This window comes from Homo sapiens, chromosome 7 (assembly GCF_000001405.40).
Source record: "Homo sapiens chromosome 7, GRCh38.p14 Primary Assembly".
NCBI lineage: Eukaryota > Metazoa > Chordata > Mammalia > Primates > Hominidae > Homo > Homo sapiens.
In genome coordinates this window covers 134,939,887-134,964,404 of record NC_000007.14, presented here as the reverse complement: position 1 = coordinate 134,964,404, position 24,518 = coordinate 134,939,887, and the positions used below count along the sequence as shown (strand labels likewise).

The following is a 24,518-nucleotide window of genomic DNA, read 5'->3' as shown; positions in this document are numbered from 1 at the left end:
CAGGATTTCCTCCATGGGATGAAAGTTTAACAGTCCATGTGGGGACTTGCTTAATAACACCTTCTGTGAGGACTGCCTTCTTCTCCCAACCTCAGCCCCTGTAGGGTTTTCTTCACCTCCACGTAAACAACTTGCTCTGGAATCACTATCTTGGGATCCGTTGCCGGGCAGCCCAAACAAAGTCACTTTTCTTTCTTCTTTTTCTGTTGTGAGACAGTCTTGCTCTGTCGCCCAGGCTGGAGTGCAGTGGCGCAATCTCGGCTCACTGCAACCTCCGACTCCCGGGTTCAAGCGATTCTCCTGCCTCAGCCTCCCAAGTAGCTGAGATTACAGGCACAAGCCACCACGCTCAGCTAATTTTTGTATTTTTAGTAGAGATGGGGTTTCACCATGTTAGCCAGGATGGTCTCGATCTCCTGACCTCATAATCTGCCCGCCTCAGCCTCTCAAAGTGCTGGGATTACAGGCGTGAGCCACCGCGCCCAGCCACAAAGTCCCTTTTCTAGCAGCATTTTCCTCACCCTAAAATCATTATGTGTCTCCCGAGGGGCAAGTGGGTAATTCAGAAGTGGATCAGTAGAACCTAGCAAATATAAACATTCATCACAAATTGAACCCATGCGAGAAGTTGACAGTTGATGACATGTGTAAGAACATGTGGAAATCTTGGGATGGAAACACTAAAATATGATCGATAACAGTTATACAGCTTAGAGTCTTTATTTACTACCTCCTAATTAATTTCATTTGGATAAGGATCCAAATTTCTGTTTCAATTTACTTTTCTTCCAGCATTTGCTTATATTAGTACTTGGCAAAAGGTAGTTTGTAGAAAATAAATGTGTTTTACTGAAATAGTAATGCTTATCTTGGCAAACCCTTTTCTCAGGAGGAAGGCAAAGCTAACAGCAATTGCATTTACCCGTGGACACTGATCTAAATGGACATATTTCTGATAGATAGTATTGAGATTGTAACACTGAAAATGCACAGTTAAATGATACCTGTGAAGCATTTCAGATTTGCCTAAACTTTACTGAGTTTCTGGATTTCCTCTGTGGCATGAATTCCTGATATTCTATTAGAGAGTTACACCTATTTAACTTGGAGCCATTAAGCAACAAATCAGATTATTTTTGTAGAATTCCACTACATTTGCCAGCGTAGGTGGAAGCTGCCAAACTGTCTGGAAGACTGTTTTAAAATTTTGGAAACTATAATTAGGAACATGCTGAGGGAAGCTCTGGAAAGCAGCTATTATCGCTTTGTTTATTTGATTCATATGAGACAAATATTTTTCCTTCTCATGCACGTTCTTCTACCTAAGAAAATGGATTGCACTTCCCATAAATCCTGCCGATGAATCTTTCAAGATCACTTAAAGAGTTTAAAGAGTCCTTTTAAGAAAATATGAACATCTGAGTTATAAGTTGGCATTTTAAATCAAAGGGGAAATATAAATGGAATTACCTGACCAGACTACATTTTAGAGAAAGACCCACTCCGGAAGAAGAGGGAGAAATGAAGGCAGGAGAAGCAGGTTTCCAATCAACCAGAGACCAAAGAGTGAGGAACAGAAGGTCAGCTGAGAAAGACATTGTTGGTTGTTTTTTTTTAAACAAAAAGAAAGACAAATTAGCTTTTTAATTTCTGTGTAACATTAGTTTAGACACAAAGAATAGACAAACCAGCTCAAACAGACATACTCAGAATTGAATTGCAGTTACAAAGTTACACTGAAATCCTATAAATTCTACCCACAAATAGCAAGGGACATCCCAGTAGCAATCTGGTGTATTTACAACATTGATTTCATAGAACTTTCTTCCATCTGGTTCTCATTCAGGAAGCCACACTAGTCTACAAAATCTAATGGGAAGAAGGATCTCACTAAAATCTATACTAACTGCCATGTTCTTCTTTCCTTTTCTTCACCCTCTAGGGGGTGATCTAGCAAGTCACATACTAATTAGTAGGTAAAGCAGGCAATGATTTTGTAATTTCTCTGCAATGCCTTTTTTTTTTTTTTTTTTTTTTTAGGAGGCTGTCAATAACCCCAGAACATGGTGTATGTTTTGTTTTGTTTTTGCTGTGGAAACCTGGATACAGTTATACCTATCATAATCATAACTGCATTTTATCTTTTTAACCTCATTAGGATGTCATACAGATGATGGTAAACTTTTCAGTTTACAAGTTAAAGTGCTGATAAAAGAATAGGGGCCAAGTTCTGGATCAAATTTTTGAGTATAATCTGCTACAAAAATGAAAGATTGCAAATATCATAAACGTGCAAAAATTAGCATCTCCTCCAAATATTTCATACTTATCAAAGAGGGAAACATAGATCTTTCTCTCCTTACTTACTATCTTGAGAGTTACTCAGTAGGTCCATAGACTGCCTTGTTTTTTTATATGTATATTTTGGGGGAGAGGGTCCTTAAATTTCATTAGGTTTTAAAGGGGTTCATAATTCAAAAAGGGTTAATAATCACTGGTCTGGAACCAGTGATTATTTTGTTTTTGAAAATAATTTCTACTCCTTATGTTACCAGAGATGCTTGGAAAACTTGAGGCACTAAAGAGCACATAACTTTTGGGTCCGGTCTCTTGCCTCAACTGTGTCCTTTTATAAACCCGCATTCTTGTACCTATTGAGAGGGGGAGGAAAAGTTGCTTTTTTCAATGTATAAAGATTTTCCAATTGTAAATTGGGTTGACATTAGTGTATACCTCCTGTGAGCCTTTATGCAAAGAATCTCGGGGTGTAGATTAATTAAACGGTTCAAGGAGTTGTGCCCAAGAAGGATTTGTGAACATTTCCATTTCTTCCTTTTTAAATTGGAAAGTGACAAAATTTAATGACTTTGGAGATTATATATGGAGCCAACAAATGCAATTAAATGGCATGGAGCCAATGGATGCAATTAAATGCACAGAGGCCTAGGATTGGAAACTTTTTCTTCTTCCTCTAGAATGTAGGATTATGACAGTGGACTCTCAGCTCCCTTGGGCACCAACAAAGCTATAAAAGCAAACTTAACAGGGAAAGCTCAGCAATATACAGTGGGGAGCTTGATACGTTTTCTTATTATAATGACAAATGCAAGCAATTGTCGTATACATTCAACAAAAAGGTGAAAAGAAATGTACTTTTTAGTAAGATAGCTGCACTTAATAAATTAAGAAAATTTTAGATTCTCAAAAACATCATTCATAACCAGTTTTTCTAGTTTCCAGTTTTATGACTTTCCTCAGGAGGTGCTGACAACACAATTAGACCAATTATTTCAACAGCTACCCAATAACTGCATTTTTGTGCCAAGTTATAAAAATGAGGCAAATTGGAACATATGGGTTCCCAATAGGCAACATACATATTCTTTTGGGAATAAGTTTAGGGGTGCTCTTGACAAAGAAGTAGCCAAAATGATGTGACCTTTCATTTTCAAATTTCTATCCAGAATTTATAGAATAGAAGCTAAACAAATAGACGAGTAAAGGATCTAAATTTGAACTGCCTCAGTATTCTAGCTGATTCCTCCTCTCAGTTAGGGTGTAGAGGTGATTATTTGGTTCCATTTTACCCTCTGAGTAACTGAGATGCAGCTTCTTAGAACTGTTGTAAATCTGAACACTTTCCTGTTTGCTATTCATCAGGGAAAGCAAAGAACAGGGGCACTGCCATTCCTAGGTAAACAGACCAACTGCTTGTTTTCTTCTGCTGGTAGAAGCTGGGAGATCAAAGAAACTCAGAAAAACCTAAAGGTACTTACAGAAGGTTTGGGAGCAGGTGACTTGTTTCCATCTGGGGTTTTAGTTAGCCATTCATTGATGCGGCTAGAAACCCCTACCTTCAAGCCAGCAGTTTCCTACAAAGGGGCAATCATCCAAAATATTAAAGAATGAAGTAAACTTTACCTGGGAAGGAATTTTCAAAGCAAATTCAAAATATCATTAAGTATGATTTCACATAACCATAAACCTTAACACTTGATATTTACAGAATATGTTATCTGGTTTTCTTTCCCTGGTAACTCACCCCACTCCAACTCCAAGGGTGGACATTTCAGCCCAGGCACTTTATTTGGAGTAAGATGGCCCGGGCTTAGTACCTCATGCAACCTCACAAACACATTCTCTCTGAGCTTGCTTTTGTGGTCATTGCAAAACAAAGTACAAATTGCACCTTCTTCACTGCTTTTATTATTTACTAGTGTGATTCCTAAATCAAAATCGACATGCAAAAAAATATGCCCCTCTACACTTAAGAGACAAAAATCAGATGCTCACCTTATTTGGTGTGCCTGCTGCAGTGGGGGATGAAAACACATTCCCTTTCTCCCACATACTCTTGATGTTGCGTACACCTTCAGCAGGAACAGGAAGATCCGAGGCTGCCGGCTTTGTAGGTTTTGCGCTTTTTGTTCCCTGAAATTTGTGAGTTATTTTTAGGATTGGTGCTGGGAAGTTTGTTCTCATAAAATTATAGTGAGTTTGTCTTCCTCAACATTATCATCTTAAAAATTCATTGTGTAAACACCTCCACCAAAAATGAGAGTGATAATTTCTGTTGTAAAACTGTATGCTGATGACATATGTCCCTCAAAATAAACCATCACAGCTAGATCAGAGGATCTTTCAAAAATGAAATATGCTTTTTGTTGGGACACCATTTGTTGTGAAATTGATATTCTACTTCGTTTCTTCAACAGATACTTTTTTGTTTTTTTTTGAGACAGGGTCTTGCTCTGTCACCCAGGCTGGAGTGCAGTGGCACAATCAAGGCTCACTACAGCCACGACCTCCAGGGCTCAAGTGATCCTCCCACTTCAGCTTCCCGAGTAGCTGGAACCATAGGCCTCTCTCTATTTTGTAGAGAAAAAAATGAAAAAATTAGCCAGGCATAGTCCCTATGTTGCCCAGGCTGGTTTCAAATTCCTGGGCTCAAGGGATCCTCCTGCCTCGGCCTCCTGAAGTGCTGTGACGACAGGCATGAGTCACCACACTTGGCCTCAACAATACTTCTTAAATGCCTACTGTATGAAGGGCACTTTGCTAGGCTCTGGGGATACAGTCGTGCTCAAAACAAGACGGTTGGGAGGCTGAGGCAGGAGAATCGCTTGAACCTGGAATGCAGAGGTTGCAGTGAGCCGAGATTGCACCATTGCACTCTAGCTTGGGCAACAAGAGCGAAACTCCATCTCAAAAATAAAAATAAAAATAAAAAACAAAAAAACAAACAAAAAACAAGACAGTCAGCTGCAGTGGGCTTATATTTTAATAGAAAGGAAAGATAGTAACTAGTTATACAAGTATTTATTTCACATTGTGCTAAGTGCTATGAAAAATAATGATGTGCCATAAAGCATGGCACACAATTGGGGGGCAGTACTTAGTTTGGGGGTGCAAAGAAGGCTACTCTGAGGAAGTGACATTTAAACCCAGATTTGACAGAATACTTGAAAGAAGACTTAAATATATATATAGTTAAATATATATATATATATATATATATATATATATATATATTTAAATACCAGTAAACCCATTCGTTACAAAAAAACCTTTTCATTAAACAATATTCACGCTGAAAGTAGAAAATAATTTATTTAAAACTCTCCTAAAATTTATCTTTATTATTGTATTTCTTAGAACTTAGAATTTCAAAGTGTAATAAAGCATCATTAATATTCTGACACTATTGGGGGCCAGGTGTGGTGGCTCACATTCGGCTTTGGGAGGCCAAGGCGGGTGGATCACTTGAGGTCAGGAATTCGAGACCTGCCTGGCCAACAGGGTGAAACTCCGTCTCTACTAAAAATACAAAAATTAGCCAAGTGTGGTGGTGGGCCCCTGTAATCCCAGCTACTCGGGAGGTTGAGGCAGAATTGCTTGACCCCAGGAGGCAGACGTTGCAGTGAGCTGAGATTGCCATTGCACTCCAGCCTGGGCAACAGAGTGAGACTCCGTCTCAAAAAAAAAAAAAAAAAAAAATTCTAACACTCCTGGGGCTATTGGACTTGATTATTGTCCTAAGTGTTTTTATGCTCTTCTATGTAGTCAGAATCTATTTCTGTTCAGCAGGACCATAACGCTGAGGACAATTCTCACCTCAATTGCACTGGTATACTGCTCCAGTCTGCTGTCAATCTTGGAGACTATTGCTGCTTGATGGGTCGATTTGACACCACTGCTAAAAAAGTAAACACATACATATAAAAATATGAGAGAGAATCTTCTCATACATATGCTAGCTGATTAGCTCAATTGAACCATCAAGCATATTTACCTTTTCTGCACAGACTTATTCAAAAATTCTGCTCGCTCTTCTATCTAGGAATTACAAAAGAAAATAAACCCAATTAATATTTCAAGCTTATAAACAGTGTTTCTCAGCCCAGGCCAATATCATCCCTGAACCTGTTAAACACACCGAAGAGCATATAAGGGTATTTGAGTTACTGTGCGTAGCTCTGCTAGAAAGCAAAACTACATATAAGGTATTTGATAGTGAGATTTGGGGGAATGAAGGTAGGATTGATACAGGATAGAGAAAACGTGTAAAAAAAAAAAAATCAAGTTTTCAAGGCAAAATAAAGACCAGACAGAAATGGAATAAAAATGCCTCTAAAACAATATAAATCAGTGGCAAAATAATTAAAGTTTAAGACTAACATAATTGGCTGAGCGCTGAGGCTCACACCTATAATCCTAGCACTTTGAGAGGCCGAGGCAGGCAAATCACTTGAGGTCAGGAGTTCAAGACCAGCCTGGCCAACATGGTGAAACCCTATCTCTACTAAAAAATACAAAAAGTAGCTGGGTGTGGTGACACGCGCCTGTAGCCCCAGCTACTTGGAAGGCTGAGGTGGGAGAATTGCTTGAACCTGGGAGGGAGAGATTGCAGTGAGCCAAGATTGTGCCACTGCACTCCAGCCTGGGTGACAGAGTGAGCATCTGTCTCAAAACAAACAAACAAAATGCAACAACAACAAACAAATAATTTTTTCAAAAACACACACTGTTACCCTTTAGGATGTATTTACTAGAGACATACCATGCTATTCGAGTAACAAAATTTTCCCATAATGTTTTAACTATGTATTTGGTATGTAACAGGATTGAATAACTAGGAAATGTGAACTAGTCCCTTATTGCTTAACCTGATTTCCTAACTTGACAAGGGTCAATGATCAAGCCTATTGCTGAACTTAATTAGCCTTGGAACGTAAAAGGCGGGATACAGGTAGAATGAGGATGGGGCACAGCTCATCTGTAATGGCTGAGGCTTCCCATGAAGCCCCTCTTAGCCCAAGTGTGAAATGAGGAAATGAGCCCAGAGAAACAGGGTTGGACATAGAAAAAATCAGCAGTTAGTAGTCTTTGATGAGTTCTTTTTTTTTTAAAGCTAGGAACTTTTTTGCTACAACTGAAGCTGCTAAATCAAACATTATATTTTACTGAAACTGTAACACTTAAATTTAGATGTTAGCAATAAGCAAATATTTGTTGAATCCATGCCACACCCAACTCCAGGCTAGAAATATCCTCTACCACCCATCACCTATCAATACCATGAGCAAATACCTTCTTTGCTTATGACTGCATGTGCCAAAGCACATGCACGCTGAAAAGTTCCATTTTCTTCCCTGTTCAGGACAGTCAAGAAATCTACTGGATTTTAGTTGCCCTAGGCTAGTATGTTTGAGTGGCCCCTTGTCTCAGTGAGTCTTGGTTAATGTGAGAAATTACCATAGACTGGGTGCCTTAAAACAACAAACATTTCTCACAGTTCCGGAGACTGGGAAGTCTAAGATTAGGTTGCCAGCATGGTTGGGGTCTGGTGAGACCTCTCTTCATGGTTTGCAGATGGCCACCTTCCTGCTGTGTCCTCATATAGTGCAGAATAGAGAGGGAGCAAATAAGGTTCTGTGTCTCTTCTTACAAGGGCACTAATCCCATTAAGGGGGCCTCCACCCTCATGACCTAATTGTCTTCCAAAGATCCCACCTCCTAATACCATCATATTGCAGATTAGGATTTCAACATATGAATTTTGAGGGGATACACACAATTCTCCAAGATGTGAGGGGTTCTTTCTGACCCAGACTGGTCTGGGATTCATGAGCAATTAATAAATACCACAGAGTTTTTTTTTTTTGAAAACATGCTTCCTCTCTAATATCAGTTGAATAACAGTTTTATAGATACTAGTAAGAGCATTTCATTCTTTCTGATGATTTCCTACAAAGACAAAAGCAAACTCTTACTTAAAAAACTATGCAAAAAAGTACTATAAGTAGTGCTGACTTTATGGGATATATAAAACATCTGTAAAGTAACTCTTATTTTTCTGATTTTAATTATAAACTTAGAAGTATATTTCTGTAGAAAAAATTCCCAGGTGAGTAAGGTGAAACAGTTTAGAACTATGCAATGCACTGGCACTTTTAATAAATATTACCCATCCGTCCGTCCGTCCATCCATCCATCCATCTATCCATCCATCTATCCTATTTTTATCCCTGCCAGCCTGTCAGCCAAACAATTAGCCAATAAATAATATACTCAGTACCTTCTATATAAAATTGAATACTAATAAATAAAATAGTGCTATTGATCGAACTGTGTCCCCCTAAAATGCATGTGTTGAGGCCCTAACCCCCAATGTGATTGTACTTGGAAATGGGGCCTCTAAGGAAGTAATTAAGGTTAAATGAGATCAGAGCGGTGGAACCCTGATCCTACAGGATTGTTATCCCTACAGGAAGACACACTAGAGAGCTCACTTGCTCTCTTTCCTCCATGTGAAGACACAGTAAGAAGGCAGCCATCTGCAAGCCATGAAGAGGGCTCTCACCAGAAACTGAATCTGCTTGCACCTTGATTTTGGACTTCCAGCCTCCAGGACTGTGAGAAATACATTTCTATTGTTTAATCCATCCAGTCTATGGTATTTTGTTATGGCAACCTAAGCAAGCTAAGATAGACAAGGTCTTTTTCTTTTTCTTTTTTGAGACAGAGTCTCACTCTGTTGCCAGGATGGAGTGCAGTGGTGGAATCTCGGCTCACTGCAATCTCCACCTCCCGGGTTCAAGTGATTCTTCTGCCTCAGCGTCGAGTAGCTGGGACTACAGATGCGCGCCACCATGCCCAGCTAATTTTTGTATTTTCAGTAGAGATGGGATTTCACCATGTTGGCCAGGATGGCCTCGATCTCTTGACCTCATGATTCGCCCACCTTGGACTCCCAAAGTGCTGGGATTACAGGTGTGAACCACTGTGCCTGACTGACAAGGTCTTATTCTTTAAGGAACACAGAATTTAGTAGGGAAGACTAGTAAAGTATATAAAATAAAATATTTAAAAATTAACAGTAGGTACAATATTAAAGAAAAAAATGCTGTGTGTATAAGAAGTAACTATCTGGGGGAGGTGGAGAAGGCTTTTCAGTAGTGTTGATATTTGAGCTGAGATTAGTAGTTTCTGGTTTACATGGTTTCAGAAATGAGTTTATGAAAGTGAGGAAGGAAGTGCATGGCTTAGCCAGGAAAGGGCATTTCTGGCAAAGCAAGCACATGTACAAAGATTTGGAGAGCCACAAGGCACGCAGCGTGGTGAGACTGGGGATAAAGAAAAATTCAGTGTGGTGGGAGGATAGAGGCACTGCAGAAGGGGATAGCGGAGGTGAGAACTGTTCTTTGTCCCACCTGCAGCATCTTTATGACTCAGGGATCATCTTTCTAACCTTGGCCATGGCATTTATTCAAATCACCGAGATTCTCAGATTCCTACTCCTCCTTTTGCTTCTATCATAGCTAACATAGCCTGACTTCATCATTGCATTTCGCACATTTTGTCAGGATGCACTGTCCGTTTACTGATGCACTCCTGCTAGAAAATATCCTAACTTAGTGGCTCTAAACAATTTGTACTGAATTTGTATATTAAATGTTCTGTTTAAGGAATTTAACAAGGGAAATTGGTTCTTCTGAAGACCAAGAGGTGGCAGTATTGTCTCGATAAAACTTGGAATAAAAGCACACCATTCGTTTTAGAAAATTGGTGCTCTCGTTACTCCACACCCTGCCCCAACCAATAAAGGCAATAGAAATTAAAAAATCTTTGAATTTAATTTACTTAAAATCTATTCTTTATTGCATATGAAAATCAGTCACTGCTAACATAATTTAATGATGAAAAACTAGGTACAGACTTTCCCAAACAAGGAATAGAAATCATGAGATATTTTTTAAAAATACAGTAGTTGGTAGTATTTTGATGTCAAATAGCAAATATTTTTCCTCCCATTGGTATTCTACAATGCTAACTTGTGACCACTTATAAAAGTTGCAGGGCCAAGGGTATCAATAGCTATCCCAATTACATTGTAGAATATGAAATTGAGCTTGAAAATCAGAGTCACAGCAAGTTCTTCAAGGCACATACATGGAGGGAAGCATAGACTGTCTGCCCCTGAATATGTGTCTCTCTTACATAGAAATTTAAAATAACCTAGACCTTTTTTATACATCTACTTTAATCAATTGCAGACAAATGCCTCTCCATCAGAGGGAGTAGATAAATGGCTTCCTGGGGGTACTAGATGAAATGGGAAGCCAGCATCTGGCTGAGGGAAAGACCAGAGAAATAGGTACGTTGAGAAATTTGGTAGAGAAGAAATAATTAGAGGAGGGTAGGGTAGGTTGTAGTTTCTCCTGAAAAAAAAAAACAAAAAAAAAAAACCACAGTAGAATTTGGAAGTCTAGATGACTACTATTTTCTTCATGTTACCAAGACTGTTCAAGGAAGGCTTGGGTGGGATTTTAAAGAAGGTAGAAAGAGAGAACATGGTTTTCTTTTTCTTTTCTTTTTTTTTTTTTGAGACGGAGTTTTGCTTTTGTTGCTGCCTCCCAGGTTCAAGCAGTTCTTCTGCCTCAGCCTCTCAAGTAGCTGGGATTACAGGCATGCGCCACTGCGCCCAGCTAACCTCTGCCTCCCAGGTTCAAGTGATTCTCCTGTCTCAGGCTCCTGAGTAGGGATTACAGGCACCTGCCACTTTGCCTGGCTAATTTTTGTATTTTTAGTAGAGACGAGGTTTCACCATGTTGGCCAGGTTGGTTTCAAACTCCTGACCTCAGGTGATACACCTGCCTCAGCCTCCCAACGTGCTGGCATTACAGGTGTGAGCCACCGCACCTGGCCTTGAGAATGGTTTTCACACTGTTAAACGGTTAAAAAAAAATCAAAAGAAGAATAATATTTCATGACATTAGAAAAGCACAATAAAATTACATAAAATTCAAATTTCAGAGTTTATAAATAAAGCTTGCCTACTCCACAAGGCCTTTCTCTACTCATTTTGCTCTGCTCACTTTTGTAATTCTTGAATTGTTTCTTTGAGGCAGTCATTAGAGCCATCAGGGCAGCCACCTTGCTTTGTTCTTTCCCTCATAGGACATAGCATGCATTAAGTATTTCATAAATAATCAGATATTAAATGTATAATCCCTCTGTGGCTTAGTTTAAATTTTCCCTGAAGCAGACCTTGAGACAAGGGTTCAAGTACAAATAATTTATTTGGGAGGTATCAGAAATATGACTGGGACCTAGACCATCATAAAGACTAAGTGAGCCGGGCATGGTGGCTCATGCGTGTAATCCCAGCACTTTGGGAGACCAAGGTGGGCGGATCATGAGGTGAGGAGTTCGAGACCAGCCTGGCCAATATGGTGAAACCCTGTCTCTACTAAAAATACAAAAATTAGCTGGGCATGGTGGCGTGCACCTGTAGTCCCAGCTACTCGAGAGGCTGAGGCAGAAGAATCGCTTGAACCTGGGAGGCGGAAGTTGCAGTGAGCCAAGATGGTGCCACTGCACTCCAGCCTGGGCAACACAGCGAGACTCTATCTCAAAAAAAAAAAAAAAGACTAAGGGAAGTTATTTGGGGATTAAAAAATTCTGATTTTCATGTGGAACAAGTAATAACTGTAAAATGTAAGCAGTTTTTGGTCATTTTGGTGTGCCACTTGATATAACCGTACACATATGTACATAATTAACCATCCAGACCTCGCTATGATTCTTTTTTTCTTTTTTTTGGGATAGGGTCTCATTCTGTCACACAGGCTGGAGTGCAGTGGCACGATCTCGGCTCACTGTAACCTCTGCCTCCCAAGTTCAAGTGGTTCTCCTGCCTCAGCCTCCCAAATACCTGGGATTACAGGTGTGCGCCATCACACCTGGCTAATTTTTGTATTTTTAGTAGGGATGGGGTTTCACCAGATTGGCCAGGAAGGTCTAGAACTCCTGACCTCAGGTGATCCATCCACCTCGGCCTCCCAAAATGCTGGGATCACAGGTGTGAGCCACTGTGCCCGGCCAGACCTGGGTATAATTCTCTCATGGCTTTGTCCATTGTTGATGCTTTATAACCTAGCTAGGTTGATGGAAAATGAAATGTTAAAAGTCCCAATCTCTGAAGATTCATTCCTTTATTCATCATTTAACAAATTTTTATTAAGTATCTTCAATATGATGTAAGGCACTGTGCTAGATGCTCAATGATGTTAATTCTCAAAGAAACTGCCACTGGCAATAATGGTGGACTGATTATAAATCAAGGATGCTACTTTCTTGAGTCCACTGTGTTTTCCCTACATCTCAACTATTCTATCATCTCCCTGACTCAGCTGATTCCTGCTCCTTTTCTGTTCTCTTGGCAGCACTCTGTTTTACATCAAATAGGAGCTGTGCTCCATGAAGGCTGTCATAGGACCAAAGCCATCCTGGAAAAGGACCCTTTCCAAGTCACATTTCACCTCCTCCCATAATAATTGCTTTAAAATTTGCACCTGTACCATTTCCAGCTGGCTTTTAATCATGACAAAGAAAAAATGAACAGCTAGCATGAAAAGCAGCTTAAACTTTTAAAATATACTTTCCTATTTTATAAATTTTAGATGTCTCTATTCTCAGTTGCTCAAAGGAATGAGGCACATGGAGAATGTGGATCAGTAAAATTGAGAGATAATCACCGAATGTCATTTTAATGTATGCCAAAGCATCTAATAAACAACAGATAAAAATTTCACTACTGTCCCTCCTTTCCATATGTTGTAAACAAAGAGAAGCTGTGAAACAGCTGAAAGGAGGTGCTATGGTCCAACATTTATATGTTGAAACTGAGTCCTTGATGTGTTGGTATTAAGAGGTGAGACCTTTGGGTGGTAACTAGGTGATGAGGGTGAGGCCCTTGTGAATGGGACTAGTGCCCTTATAAAAGAGGCCTAAGGAAGCCTGTTTTCTCCCTTTCTCCTTCCACCATGTAAGGACACAGGGAGAAGGTGCCACCTATGAGGAATAGGCCCTCACTAGACACCACATCTGCTGGCACCTTGATCTTTGACTTTCCAGCCTCCAAAACTGTGAGTGATAAATTTTGAGATGGAATCTTGCTCTGTTGCCCAGGCTAGAGTGCAGTGGCATTATCTTAGCTCACTGCAACCTCTGCCTCCTGGGTTCAAGTGATTCTCCTGCCTAAGCCTCCCAAGTAGCTGAGATTATTACAGGTGTGTGCCACCACGTCCGGCTAGTTTTTGAATTTTTGGTAGAGATGGGGTTTCACCACGGTGGCCAGGCTGGTCTCGAACTCCTGACCTCAGGTGATCTGCCCACATCTGCCTCCCAAAGTGCTGGGATTACAGGCATGAGCCACCGTGCCTGGCCCCAGTCTAAAGTATTTTGTTATAGCAGCCTGAACAGATTAACTTGGAAGGATAGCAAAAAGATAAATGAACAAAGGCCCTGTATAATCAATAACTAAACAAGGGGCTAAAATCCAGTCTCTATCATATTCTAATAGAAGTTTTCTGGGGAAAAAAATACCTTGAGAGATGAACCTTTAGGAGTGAAACACTTGAATGGTTTCTTGTCATCTGACAAGCCATCTTCTGGCATCTTCTGGCGTTTCTCAGCAGCTTCTGCTCTTCGCCTTTCAATCTCTTCCTTTAGCCTCCTCTTCTCTTCCTAAGAGAGAAAGAACAAATAACGAGGCATCAGTACCAGCTTCACAGCCAAAGGGAAGAGTGCTGTAGGAGAGAGAGCACAGTTGGAGAGGCAGCAGACTCAGGCCGCAGGCTGGACACTCCCCTTCTAGGTGGTCACCAGAGGTTTAGCCTGAGAGCTGGAGTCGAGCTGCCTGCATTTGCATTCTGGTGCTGCTACTTTCCAACTGCCTGACCTTGGCCATGTTATTTATCTGCTCTGTGGCTCAGTTTCTTCATCTGTAAAACAGGGATAACAATAGTACTCATTTTTTAGGGCTTTCGTGAGGGCTCAGTGAGATAGCACATGTAAAATGCTTACACCAAACTTGTCCAACCCATGGCCCAGGGGCCACATCATGCCCAGGATGGCTTTGAATGTAGCCTAACACAAATTCGTAAACTTTCTTAAAACATTATGAGACCTTTTTGTGATTTTTTTTTTTTTTGGCTCATCAGCGATCATTAGTGTTAGTGTATTTTATGTGTGGCCCAAGGCAATTCTTCTTCCAATGTGACCCAGGGAAGCCAAAAGATTGGACACCCCTGGCTTAGACTAACACTCATTATGATGATTTCCCATAGGATGATACATAATCACCACCATCCTGTGGGTCATTAACAATGACCTCACACTTCTGTATATGTAAAAGGGATATGAATATTCCTTCTACCTACATCCTAGGAGAGTTGTGAAGACAAATGAATAACTTATGTGAAAAGCTATCTAAATCTGTGGTACTATATTTGCCAGATGGTACAAGAGGTGATTTTATGGTTGCTCCCCGCTTCAAGTGAATATATAATTTTAGATGGTTTGACAAACCTGAAATGCTCTAGACGTTGAACCATGGTAGTGCAATTGCAAATGTTTACAGACTGTCTCATTAACCCCTCTGTGTCTTCATTCCTAGTCTAGAATACTCTGTCTTCTCTATCAGGGCTCTGATCAAGTTGCACAACTTGATTTTCTGAGAGATTTAATGCAGTCTTTGGTAGTTCTTAAGCTGTGAGATCATTATCACTGCATGTTCTCAAGCAGAGACTAGATGTTCATCTGTCAGAGGATGTCACAGAAGGATCCTGTGTTTGGTAGTTTAGCCCAAATAATCTCCTAGGTCCAATCCAGTTCTAAGACTTCGTGATTTCTCTTCAGCCTTTCCTGATACTCTCCTCCTCTGAATAATAATCATAATAACAATGATGGCAATAATGATACCTACTAATTTTTGAGTGCCTAGAATGTGCCAGGCACTGGGAGCACAATGATCTATTAAATTATTGGAAGAATCCTGCAAAGTAGATATTATTTCACAGATAAGGAAAAGAAGACACAGAGTAGTCCAGTTTTCCCAAGGCCCCAGCTTGTTAGTGACAGAGTTAGGATAGAAGACTGGGTGTGTTCCGAGATTGCACCACTGCATTCCTGCACTCCAGCCTGGGTGACAGAGCAAGACTATGTCTAAAAAAACAATAAAAAAAAAAAAGCCTGGGGTGTGTTTAACCCCCAAACTCTATCATCCTGATTACTTCCCATACTTCCCAACCAAAGGTCATTGGCTCATTGAAAGTTGGAGTTAAAAGAGACCTCAAAATAATGTATCCAAATTTTCCATACAGTTCAGGAAAATTTTGCATAGGATCCTTGTCAAAATGCCATTGAAAGTCTTTTTTTTTCTTCATATTTTGAATGATGGGAGATCGCTATCTCAAAAGCTCTGGGCTCTGAGTTGGAAAAGCGGGGTCTCCTTACTGATTCTACCATTTATTAGTCAAGAATCTTCAAATAAGTCACTCAAACTATTTGATTCCTGGTTTCTTTGCCCATAAAATGAGAACGATGTACCTCAGGATGAAATGAAAGAATGCACTTTGTAAACTGTAGTACTGTAAGTTGTAGTTGGTTAAACATTATTTCATATGCTGAGCCAAAATGTTCCTCCTTGTAACTCTATCTGCTGTTTTTAGCTCTGTCTTAAAAGATGAAACAAATCCATCTGTTTATAATGATGGGGCTCTTCCTGCATGTCAGGCACGGTATGGGGTCCTGGGTATACAGTAATGAACAACGCAGATACTGTCCCTGCCTCTTTATATTCTAATGTACTTACTTGCTCATTAAAAAAAAAAAAAGATTTAAAAAAATCTTCTCTATAAAAACTCTCCAACTATTAGAAAACCATAACTTCATTCTGGTAACTAATTTGCAGACCTTTCATCCTTTTCAGCTTTCTAACTTTTCCTTTTTGAGAGGCAGTAAAGGGTTTTAATGATGGGGCTCCTCCTGCATGTCAGGCAGACTCAAGGGAGACCTTGGGAAAGTTACAAACAAAAACAAAAACAAAAACAAAACCTCTCTGTGCCTCAGTTTTCTCATCTGTAAAATGGGGATTAGTACCTAGGTCAGCGAGTTCTTAGAAGCAGTGGACAAATTAATACATCTACAAGTTATAAAACAGTACCTAGCACATGGTAAGTTTATTATTCTTAAAAAAATATTTTTGAGAGCCCATGCTCAAAAGAACAGCCGCACGGCACTAGGGAATTTTCCCGGGCAACGTTCTCAGTGGGCTAGCGCCCGCCTTACCTCCTCTCTGAGTTTTCGATCGGCTTCCTCCTGCTTCCTCCTCTGCTCTTCCTCCTCCAGGACCTTCCTTCTCTCCTCCCTCTTTTTCTTGAGTTCCTCCAGCTCCAAAGCCGCCTCCTGCTGCTTCTGTTTGAGCTTCTCGAACTCTTCGCTCTCGGTCTCCCCGCGACGACGACGAAGCTCCTCCAGCCTTTTGCCGGCTTCCACCTGGGGGGCGCCCTCAGCCTCCTTGGTGTCCACGCTGGCCCTCCCTCCAGGGCGGCTGTGGTTGGGGGGCAATGGAAAGGGGTTTACATGCTTTTGCCTGTAGTCTCCCTGGAGGAAGGGGAGGTCGGTCTGCGGCTTCTGCATCCCCGACTAAATACCCACTGCCTCTCATTAGCCCAGGGGGTAGGCTGGGGAAGGGGTCTGCCCGGAATCACAGAGTCCAGGAGCCTCTGCTCTTCCACTTGTGCTTCGTTTCCTCAGCTGTAAAATGGGACAAATATGCACTGTAAAATGGGATTGTAAAGTTGTGCAGCTGCTATGGAAACAGTATGGAGGTTCCTCAAAAAATCAACAAGAGAACTACCACGTGATCCAGCAATCCCACTTCTGATACACTTCTAAAAGAATGGAAAGCAAGGTCTTGAAGAGACATTTGTATACCCGTGTTCATAGCAGCATTATTTACAAGGACCAAGAGATGGACGCAACCCAAGTGTCCATCATAGCAGGAATGGATAAATAAAAGGTGGTCTAGCCATACCATGGAATATTATTCAGCCTTAAAAAGGAAGGAGAGGCCGGGTGCAGTGGCTCACGCCTGTAATCCTAGCACTTTGGGAGGCCGAGGCGGGCGGATTGCCTGAGCTCAGGAGTTTAAGACAGCCTGGGCAACACAGTGAAACCCTGTCTCTACTAAAATACAAAAAAAAAAAAATTAGCCGGGCGTGGCGGCGTGTGCCTGTGGTCCCAGCTACTCTGGAGGCTGAGGCAGGAGAATTGCTTGAGCCCAGGAGGCAGGGGTTGCAGTGAGCCGAGATTGTGCCACTGCACTCCAGCCTGGGCAACAAAGCGAGACTCTGTCTGTAAGAAAAAAAGAGAAAAAAAAAAAAAAGGAAGGAGATCTTGTTACCTGTTACAACATGGATAAACCTTGAAGATACTATGCTAAGTGAAATAAGCCAATCACGGAAATCATACAAATATTGTGTGATTCCACTTATATGAGGGATCTAAAGTAGTCAAATTCATAGAGACAGAAATAGAACTGTAGTTACCAGAGGCAGAGGGTGGGCGGTAGCAGGAAATAAAGAGTTGCTGTTTAATGGGTGTAGTCTTTCAGTCTTGCAAGATGAAAAGAGTTTTGGAGATCTGTTGCACAACAATATGAATATGCCTCACACTACTTAACTGTACTTTTAAAAATGCTTAAGATGGTAAATTTTAGGTGATGTTTGTTTTTACCACAATTTTTAAGAAGATACATGCTACAACATGGAAAAATGGGTAAATACTATTTATTCTATTTACCTCAGTGGGTTGCATGGGCTTATGTATTATATCAGTATGATATCATACTGATATCATACTGATATACTATAATTTCTATATCATCTACAGTATAAATATTAGTTGTTATTAGAAAGGGAGGCATGTAGTCCAAAAGGTTACTTGTGAATGAGTTCAAAAGTCTTGTAGTGGCCTTACTAGTCCTTTCCCGTAAGTTACTGGTTAACTTGGGTCTGCCTGGAGTAATGGATCAGGAGGGAAGACAGAAAGGTTCAGGCGCTGGGAATGGGAAAAAGTGGCTGTAACTAAGGGTAGGCATTGAAGTAAATCCATCTGTCCACAACTGTGCCTTGAGCTTGACTCTAGCAGCTGATCTCTGGCAGACGAAATTACCCATTGCCTCTTGATTAAGAGCTAAACACAGTGATTTATGTCTATTCTTACAGAGCTGCTCCAGGAAAGTCCTTAATGACTGCATTAACCTATGGCTTCAATTTGTGAATTTTCTATGCTCTTTGACCCCAATACAACTGGAATACTCCTTATACAGACTTAAAATTATGAAATTAGCTTGGTATGATGTGGTTAAGGTTATTACTTACATGTCATTCTTTATGCTCTCTAAACCCTTTTCATATCCACTACTTCATTTAACAGTCACAATAACTGGGAAGATGTCAGGTTAGGTTTATTATCCCCATCTTACAAACAAGGAAACCACAGGTAAGACAGAGAATAATATACTCAAACTTTTGGAAGCTAGAAAGCAGTCGAGCCATGATCAGATTCTAATGCTTATCTATTAGTTGTACTCTTCTTGTAACTATAATTATACCTGAAATTAAATACGTTTTGTTATGAAACAATGAATAAACTGAAATAGAACATGTTATTCCATCTCTCCACCTCTTACCTCAAACCTTCAGGATAGAGTCTGAGAGAAGCGTTTCCTACCTCTGTCTCTAGAGTTTCTACAGTCTAGGTCTAGCTACCTTCCGTGCCTGAGATGAAGCAGAAGCTTCATCAGGTAGAACAGCTTATAAAACAGGAAGAAATGGGTACGTTTTTATGTAAGTAAGAACTAAAATTGAAATTATGTTGAATTTTCTTTTGTGATTAAGGAGGATACACAGGGATTTCATTGCAGAATTGGGAACATATTAAGACTTCAGACAGAATGCTATCCCAAGAGTCCTTATGGTAAAATTTTATTTTGGAACTGGTATTTTTAGTATTTTACACAACTATAAAAAGATGAAGACATATCATTAGCACCTACTGTGACCCCTGAGTTTCTTTAATAAATTTACTGTATGATACAGTTAGAACACTGATAATTTTAAAACATGTCGATACTCAAAGTAGAACTTCAGTAGAATGCAGAGTTTTCACTAACACAGAGTTCACCTAAGTTGGATTTGCCTGGGACTTCACTAAGCAGAATTTAGTGGCTTAATTTAGGCTTGAAGCCCTTGTTATAAGTAGTCTTTAAGAGACAGAGATACAGCTTTGCCATTTAAATACTTATTAGCAAGTAGTAAGGTCATTCTTAACTAGATGTCAACGTAGATATCCTATTCCTGACACTTTTGTCTAAGGAACAAAGGAATTATCACACCCTAACATCATTTACTACATGTAAAGAATGGTACAGTGTTTCTAGCTGTGAAACAAGAGGAAGAATAAAACAAGAAATGGGCTCAAGAAATACACTGTGCAATATTGATTTTATAATATATATATGTATATTATATATCATGCTTTTTAAACACTGAAGTAGTTCTGAATATCCTGTGTCCTCCAGAACAATAATTTTCAAGCTGCAGACCAGAAAATCAATTTAGTAGATTGTAATCAACATTTAAAAAAAAAAAAAACAGAAAATATCAGAGTGCACTGCATAGAGCAAAACAAAGTACCATTTCTTGACACACTTGTTTCAGTTATAAAAATATATACAGGTGTGTACTGGGTCATTATGTAAAATTTATTTCTTACTAAGGGCTTAGGTTAAAAAATTTAGAACTATTGGTCTAGGCTCATGCCAGTTACAGGTAAACTTTTATTTTGAACTCAAACAAGGTTAAAGGGTCCCTCAAAACCTTGCTGTCAAAGGCTCTTTCAGGGTCTTCTAGGTTCACAGGCCTGTGACTCCTCTCTCAGTCAATTTAGGGTCTTTCCTTCCAAAAATGAGTTTGCTCTCTCTTTGTGTTCATCATATTACTGTACAGGAACTGGACCGGCAAAACACATGCCTATAGAAACATCTATGGATTCCACTAGGTGTCACTCAGTCTTCATTTTGGACAATCAAAATGTCCGTCATTAGGGACTGGCTAAATAAGTCCTAATACATCCATCCAGTAGAATCTAATATCATTAATTATAGGCTTATATTTATTGGCATAGAAAGCAAGCTATGACACATTCTTATGCACAGTGCAAGAATCAATGTAAAATTATAAGTATACTCACACACGTATATACTACATATAAATATACACACGTGTGTGCATTTATCTTGAATATTATATACATAGATAAATATCTGGAAAAAGTGTTACTGCTAGTTATCTTTGGGTGGTGGGTGCTTATTTTTATTCTTCTATTTTCTGAGCGTTTTTATAATGAGTATTTTTTTCTATAATCGGAAAAAATCTTTTAATTTCTACCTTCAAAAATAAAAAATCAAAAAACCATTTTGCACTTTCTATAAAACCCTTGGTATAATTTGCATCGCTATATCTTGCTCATTGAATTGAGATTTTTATGTCATGTTTTAGAGAAAACGAGTTACAAGAAAATGCAGATATCAAAGGGAACAGTAATTAAATCACACATAAGCAGCTATGCTCAAAACAGGAGCAAAAGTTTTGTTCACACCACCTCTGCCTATGTGCATGACCTCAGCATTAGGGTGCCACTTAATGTGGAAATCGTTCCATAAAGTTCTTTCTCCCCGCACCCCACCCCCACCACCCTACCCCCGTCCTTGGCTTCCTTAGGTGTAAGTCAAGATGAGTATCAGGCCTTTGACCATTAAGAACACAGCTTGTTTTCAGTGAAGCTGGTAGGTACTAAACTTACCTAAATAGAGGCTAGGCGGATACTCTCTTCCTCTCTCCTCATTTTATATGTATATGGAGCAAAACTATACTTCTCTACTTCAATCAGCGTGAACTTCTAATTGAAACTAAAACTCACATACGTTGGTGGCTAAACAAAAATAAATAATATGGTAGCAGCTTGTTCCTGTATTTTTTTTTCCTGCCCAAAATAGAAAAATTAAGGCCAGAGTCACACGTAAGTGTTCTTAGCACTTAACTTGTCACCATCTCTTGTGACTATTCCTTTCTTCGAATTACCCAGCTTTTTGGATTTCTACACAATAGGCATGTTAATTATTAATTTGAGCTTTGAAGCTTGTTGGCAAGTTTGCTAATTGTTAAACAGACTTTTTTCTACTGACAGATTTTCTTAAACGTTATTTCTCTTAACAAAAAACTTATACCTTAAAAGAACCTTATGTTTACAAGACATCTTTTAAACTATTAAAAAATAGTAATATTAGGTAATATTCATTGAACACTTTTCATGAACCTAACACTATTCTAGGGCTTTAAAACATTAAACTACAGACACTTCAGCAAGTTTTAGACTCAACTTACCAACCTGAATCAACTCGCTTTGTAGATTTTCTATGAATGTTCAATAAACTTAATTTTCACATCTATTCTCTTGGCAATCCCAAGTAATATCTATAGATTCTACCTTTCTTACACCTTCATCATTTTATTTAGATCTTTTATGTACACCTTTTCTTCTGTGAGCTTTAGGTTCTCCTTTGGATAAATATGAATAGGTTTCTGCTTAAATTTACGTACAAAAAAATTGTTTTGGGGCAACCGTATTTATCCATCTTAGCCTCTTGGATGAGACTGAAATATCCATCCCTAGTAGCTCCGCCTGCTTTTGAATATTACAAAGGCTTTGGTGTGAGGAGCATGTCAGATTTCTCCCTCAAACCTGCTTGATGACTTTCTTATTTGAAGTGTTCAGAAAAACAGGGTCACTAGGCAAGCCTGCAGCCAAGGAACAAGCCCGGGGAAATCCACATTGCAGGGACCCAAGACTCCTCTCCGGCACATCTGGCACAGCAACCAGTGACAAAACAGAGGTTGGAATTTGGCCCCAGTGGTTGGAGAGAGTGTTTTGTGGGGAAGGAGCACAGGAATCACGTAGCCAGCCCAGTGTCTGCACCTCAAGTTCTTCTACAAAATTGGTAGAGAGCTCTCAGGATTCGACTGTATTTAGAAATGAGGATTTACCTGAATATACTGGTCTCGTCTGTCTGATAATCAGTTGCCCAGATTTTCAGTTTGATGGGGTAAGGGATTATGTTGAGGGGAAAGCTCAAGCTATACAAGAGAGTTTTTCCAAACTGTATAAAATAGAGCAGTAGGTCCATACCTCTCACTCCCTCTTAGAGACTTCCAATGAAAATGAACATGAAGGGCTCTCAAAGTCATGTGGTAAAGAAATCTGAGGAATTTAGCTTAATCCAGTGTTTCCCAAGTATTTCGCCACAAAACAATCTTAGTCTTATGCAATATTTATTTACAACCTTTAGAAAATGCATTCTTGAAAATGGTACTGAGAAAGGTCTCTTAGGAAGGTGGTCAGACCATATAGAGAATCATTGAATGACATGAATCCCAGTTATAATGTTTTCTAATACACTAATCTCACAAAAGGTCAGTGAACAAAAACATGGATGCCAAGCATGATCTGCCTTTCAAAATAATGGGAAAAGCAGACTAAGCCCTGTCTGAGCGATGACTGCTGGTCTTCTGTTAGTGATATAAGAACTGGACCTGCTGACTGAGTATCTCTAAGACAATGGCTAATGACCTCACAACAAAAGCATGCTGCCTGCTTAGCACGTTTCTGTCTGGAAGCACAGGATGGGAAGACTGACTTTTTTTTTTTTTTCTTTGCATGTGAACACAGTTTCTATTAACTAGTTGCTACTTCTTACCTGAAAGTATTCTCAGTATGTTTAAGTTTGTGGGTCATGAATTCTCCATTCTGCGACTTAACTTCTGTAAATCCCTTCTTTCGATCCATGAAGCTCTTAACTTCTTCTTTGGGTTCTTTGTCCTTTTTAATCTTTTCATCTTTGATCTAACCAACAGTACATATCAGGAAGAAACAGAACAAGAAAAATCTTATTAGGTTTTGGTTGGTATCATCAAGTAAGACCCAAAATTGTTAGGAAGGCAGAAAACTCAGAAAGAAACCACTCAGATGTGGTAGAGTTGGAATCAGGTGAAATTCTTAGAGAATGAGCTATGGTCCTTTAGCCTGTGAACAAACACCTTTACCACAATTTTAAGAAGGTAAGATCATCCCTGATCTCACTGAGGTTTTTATTTTCAAGAGCAGTGGTAGTACTATTGTTTGGAAACCACTAAGTTCTGGGAACTTCATGTAAAAGTAGCTGTTTGCAGTTCCCACTGGGAAGAGCAATTATTAGGATGGCTTTGATGGAAGAATGACCACGTTGCTTAGACAGGTTTCTTCCTGGATGGTGAGAGAATCTGTGAGAGAGACACAAATGGGAAAGAAAGAAAAGGAAACCTATCAGTTTAGCTAGATCTGCCAAACCAACTCTGGCGAAGACCAGTATTTTAATCAACTGAGTAAATTATGTCCCAAGGATGGGACATTTACTAACCCTACCTTTAGTAGGAGGATCCAAAGATATGTGGGGTCTGTGAGAACATGTCTGTAGTCATCTAAACCATTAAAGTTAGAATGGAATAGGAAAAATTCCAGGGTTTACCTTGATTTCCATTGTCAATAAAAATTTAGTTCTCTGGAAGTAGTTTTGTGGTTGTGGTGGGAGACATAGGAAGATGATATATGGAGGGCAGGTGTTAGCTTTCATATTTTGTGCGTTTTGTGTTTCTTTCAGTAAGTGAGACAGATTATTTAAAAGTATACTGAATTTACATAGCTTTTTGTGGGGGAGGGGGTAAAGGAATTCAAATCACTTCACTTATATCATCTCATCCATTCTTAAAAGATGAGTGTGAAAACAGGTGAGGTGCATTCACGATGGTTCTTTTCAAGACAGTTACAAACCATGAGCATTCTAAAGAAATCCAGAGGAAAGGTAGGCCATAAGAACTCAGGACTTTAGGTGTTGTGGCCTAGGAGGTTCTATCCTGACCTGATCACTCACCTCTTCTCACCTATTCTTCAGATACTCTGTGAAGATTTACTCCTAAAGTGCATTTTTTTTTTTAAGAGACAGAGTCTTGCTCTGTTGCCCAGGCTGGAGTGCAGTGGTGCGATCTCAGCTCACTGCAGCTTCCACCTCCCGG

General features: G+C 39.7%; 1 protein-coding gene across 48 annotated transcripts in view; it reads right to left on the bottom strand.

Annotated features, from left to right (window-relative positions):
• The window catches only part of CALD1 (caldesmon 1), a 259,231-nt gene that overhangs the window by 6,325 nt on the left and 228,388 nt on the right, over positions 1 to 24,518 (bottom strand). For 23 of the 48 annotated variants that reach the window (NM_001438770.1, NM_001438779.1, NM_001438769.1 and 20 more), the window contains 7 exons: positions 23,168 to 23,313; positions 16,636 to 16,897; positions 13,891 to 14,031; positions 6,293 to 6,336; positions 6,115 to 6,196; positions 4,294 to 4,431; positions 3,777 to 3,872 (listed from right to left, as the gene is read on the bottom strand). In NM_001438770.1, the coding sequence (NP_001425699.1) occupies positions 3,777 to 3,872; positions 4,294 to 4,431; positions 6,115 to 6,196; positions 6,293 to 6,336; positions 13,891 to 14,031; positions 16,636 to 16,897; positions 23,168 to 23,313 (909 nt within the window). Of the gene's footprint in view, positions 1 to 1,470; positions 1,586 to 3,776; positions 3,873 to 4,293; positions 4,432 to 6,114; positions 6,197 to 6,292; positions 6,337 to 13,890; positions 14,032 to 16,635; positions 16,898 to 23,167; positions 23,314 to 24,518 lie in introns of those variants that run through there. The other 25 variants (XM_047420867.1, NM_001438784.1, NM_001438765.1 and 22 more) reach the window with 6 other exon arrangements.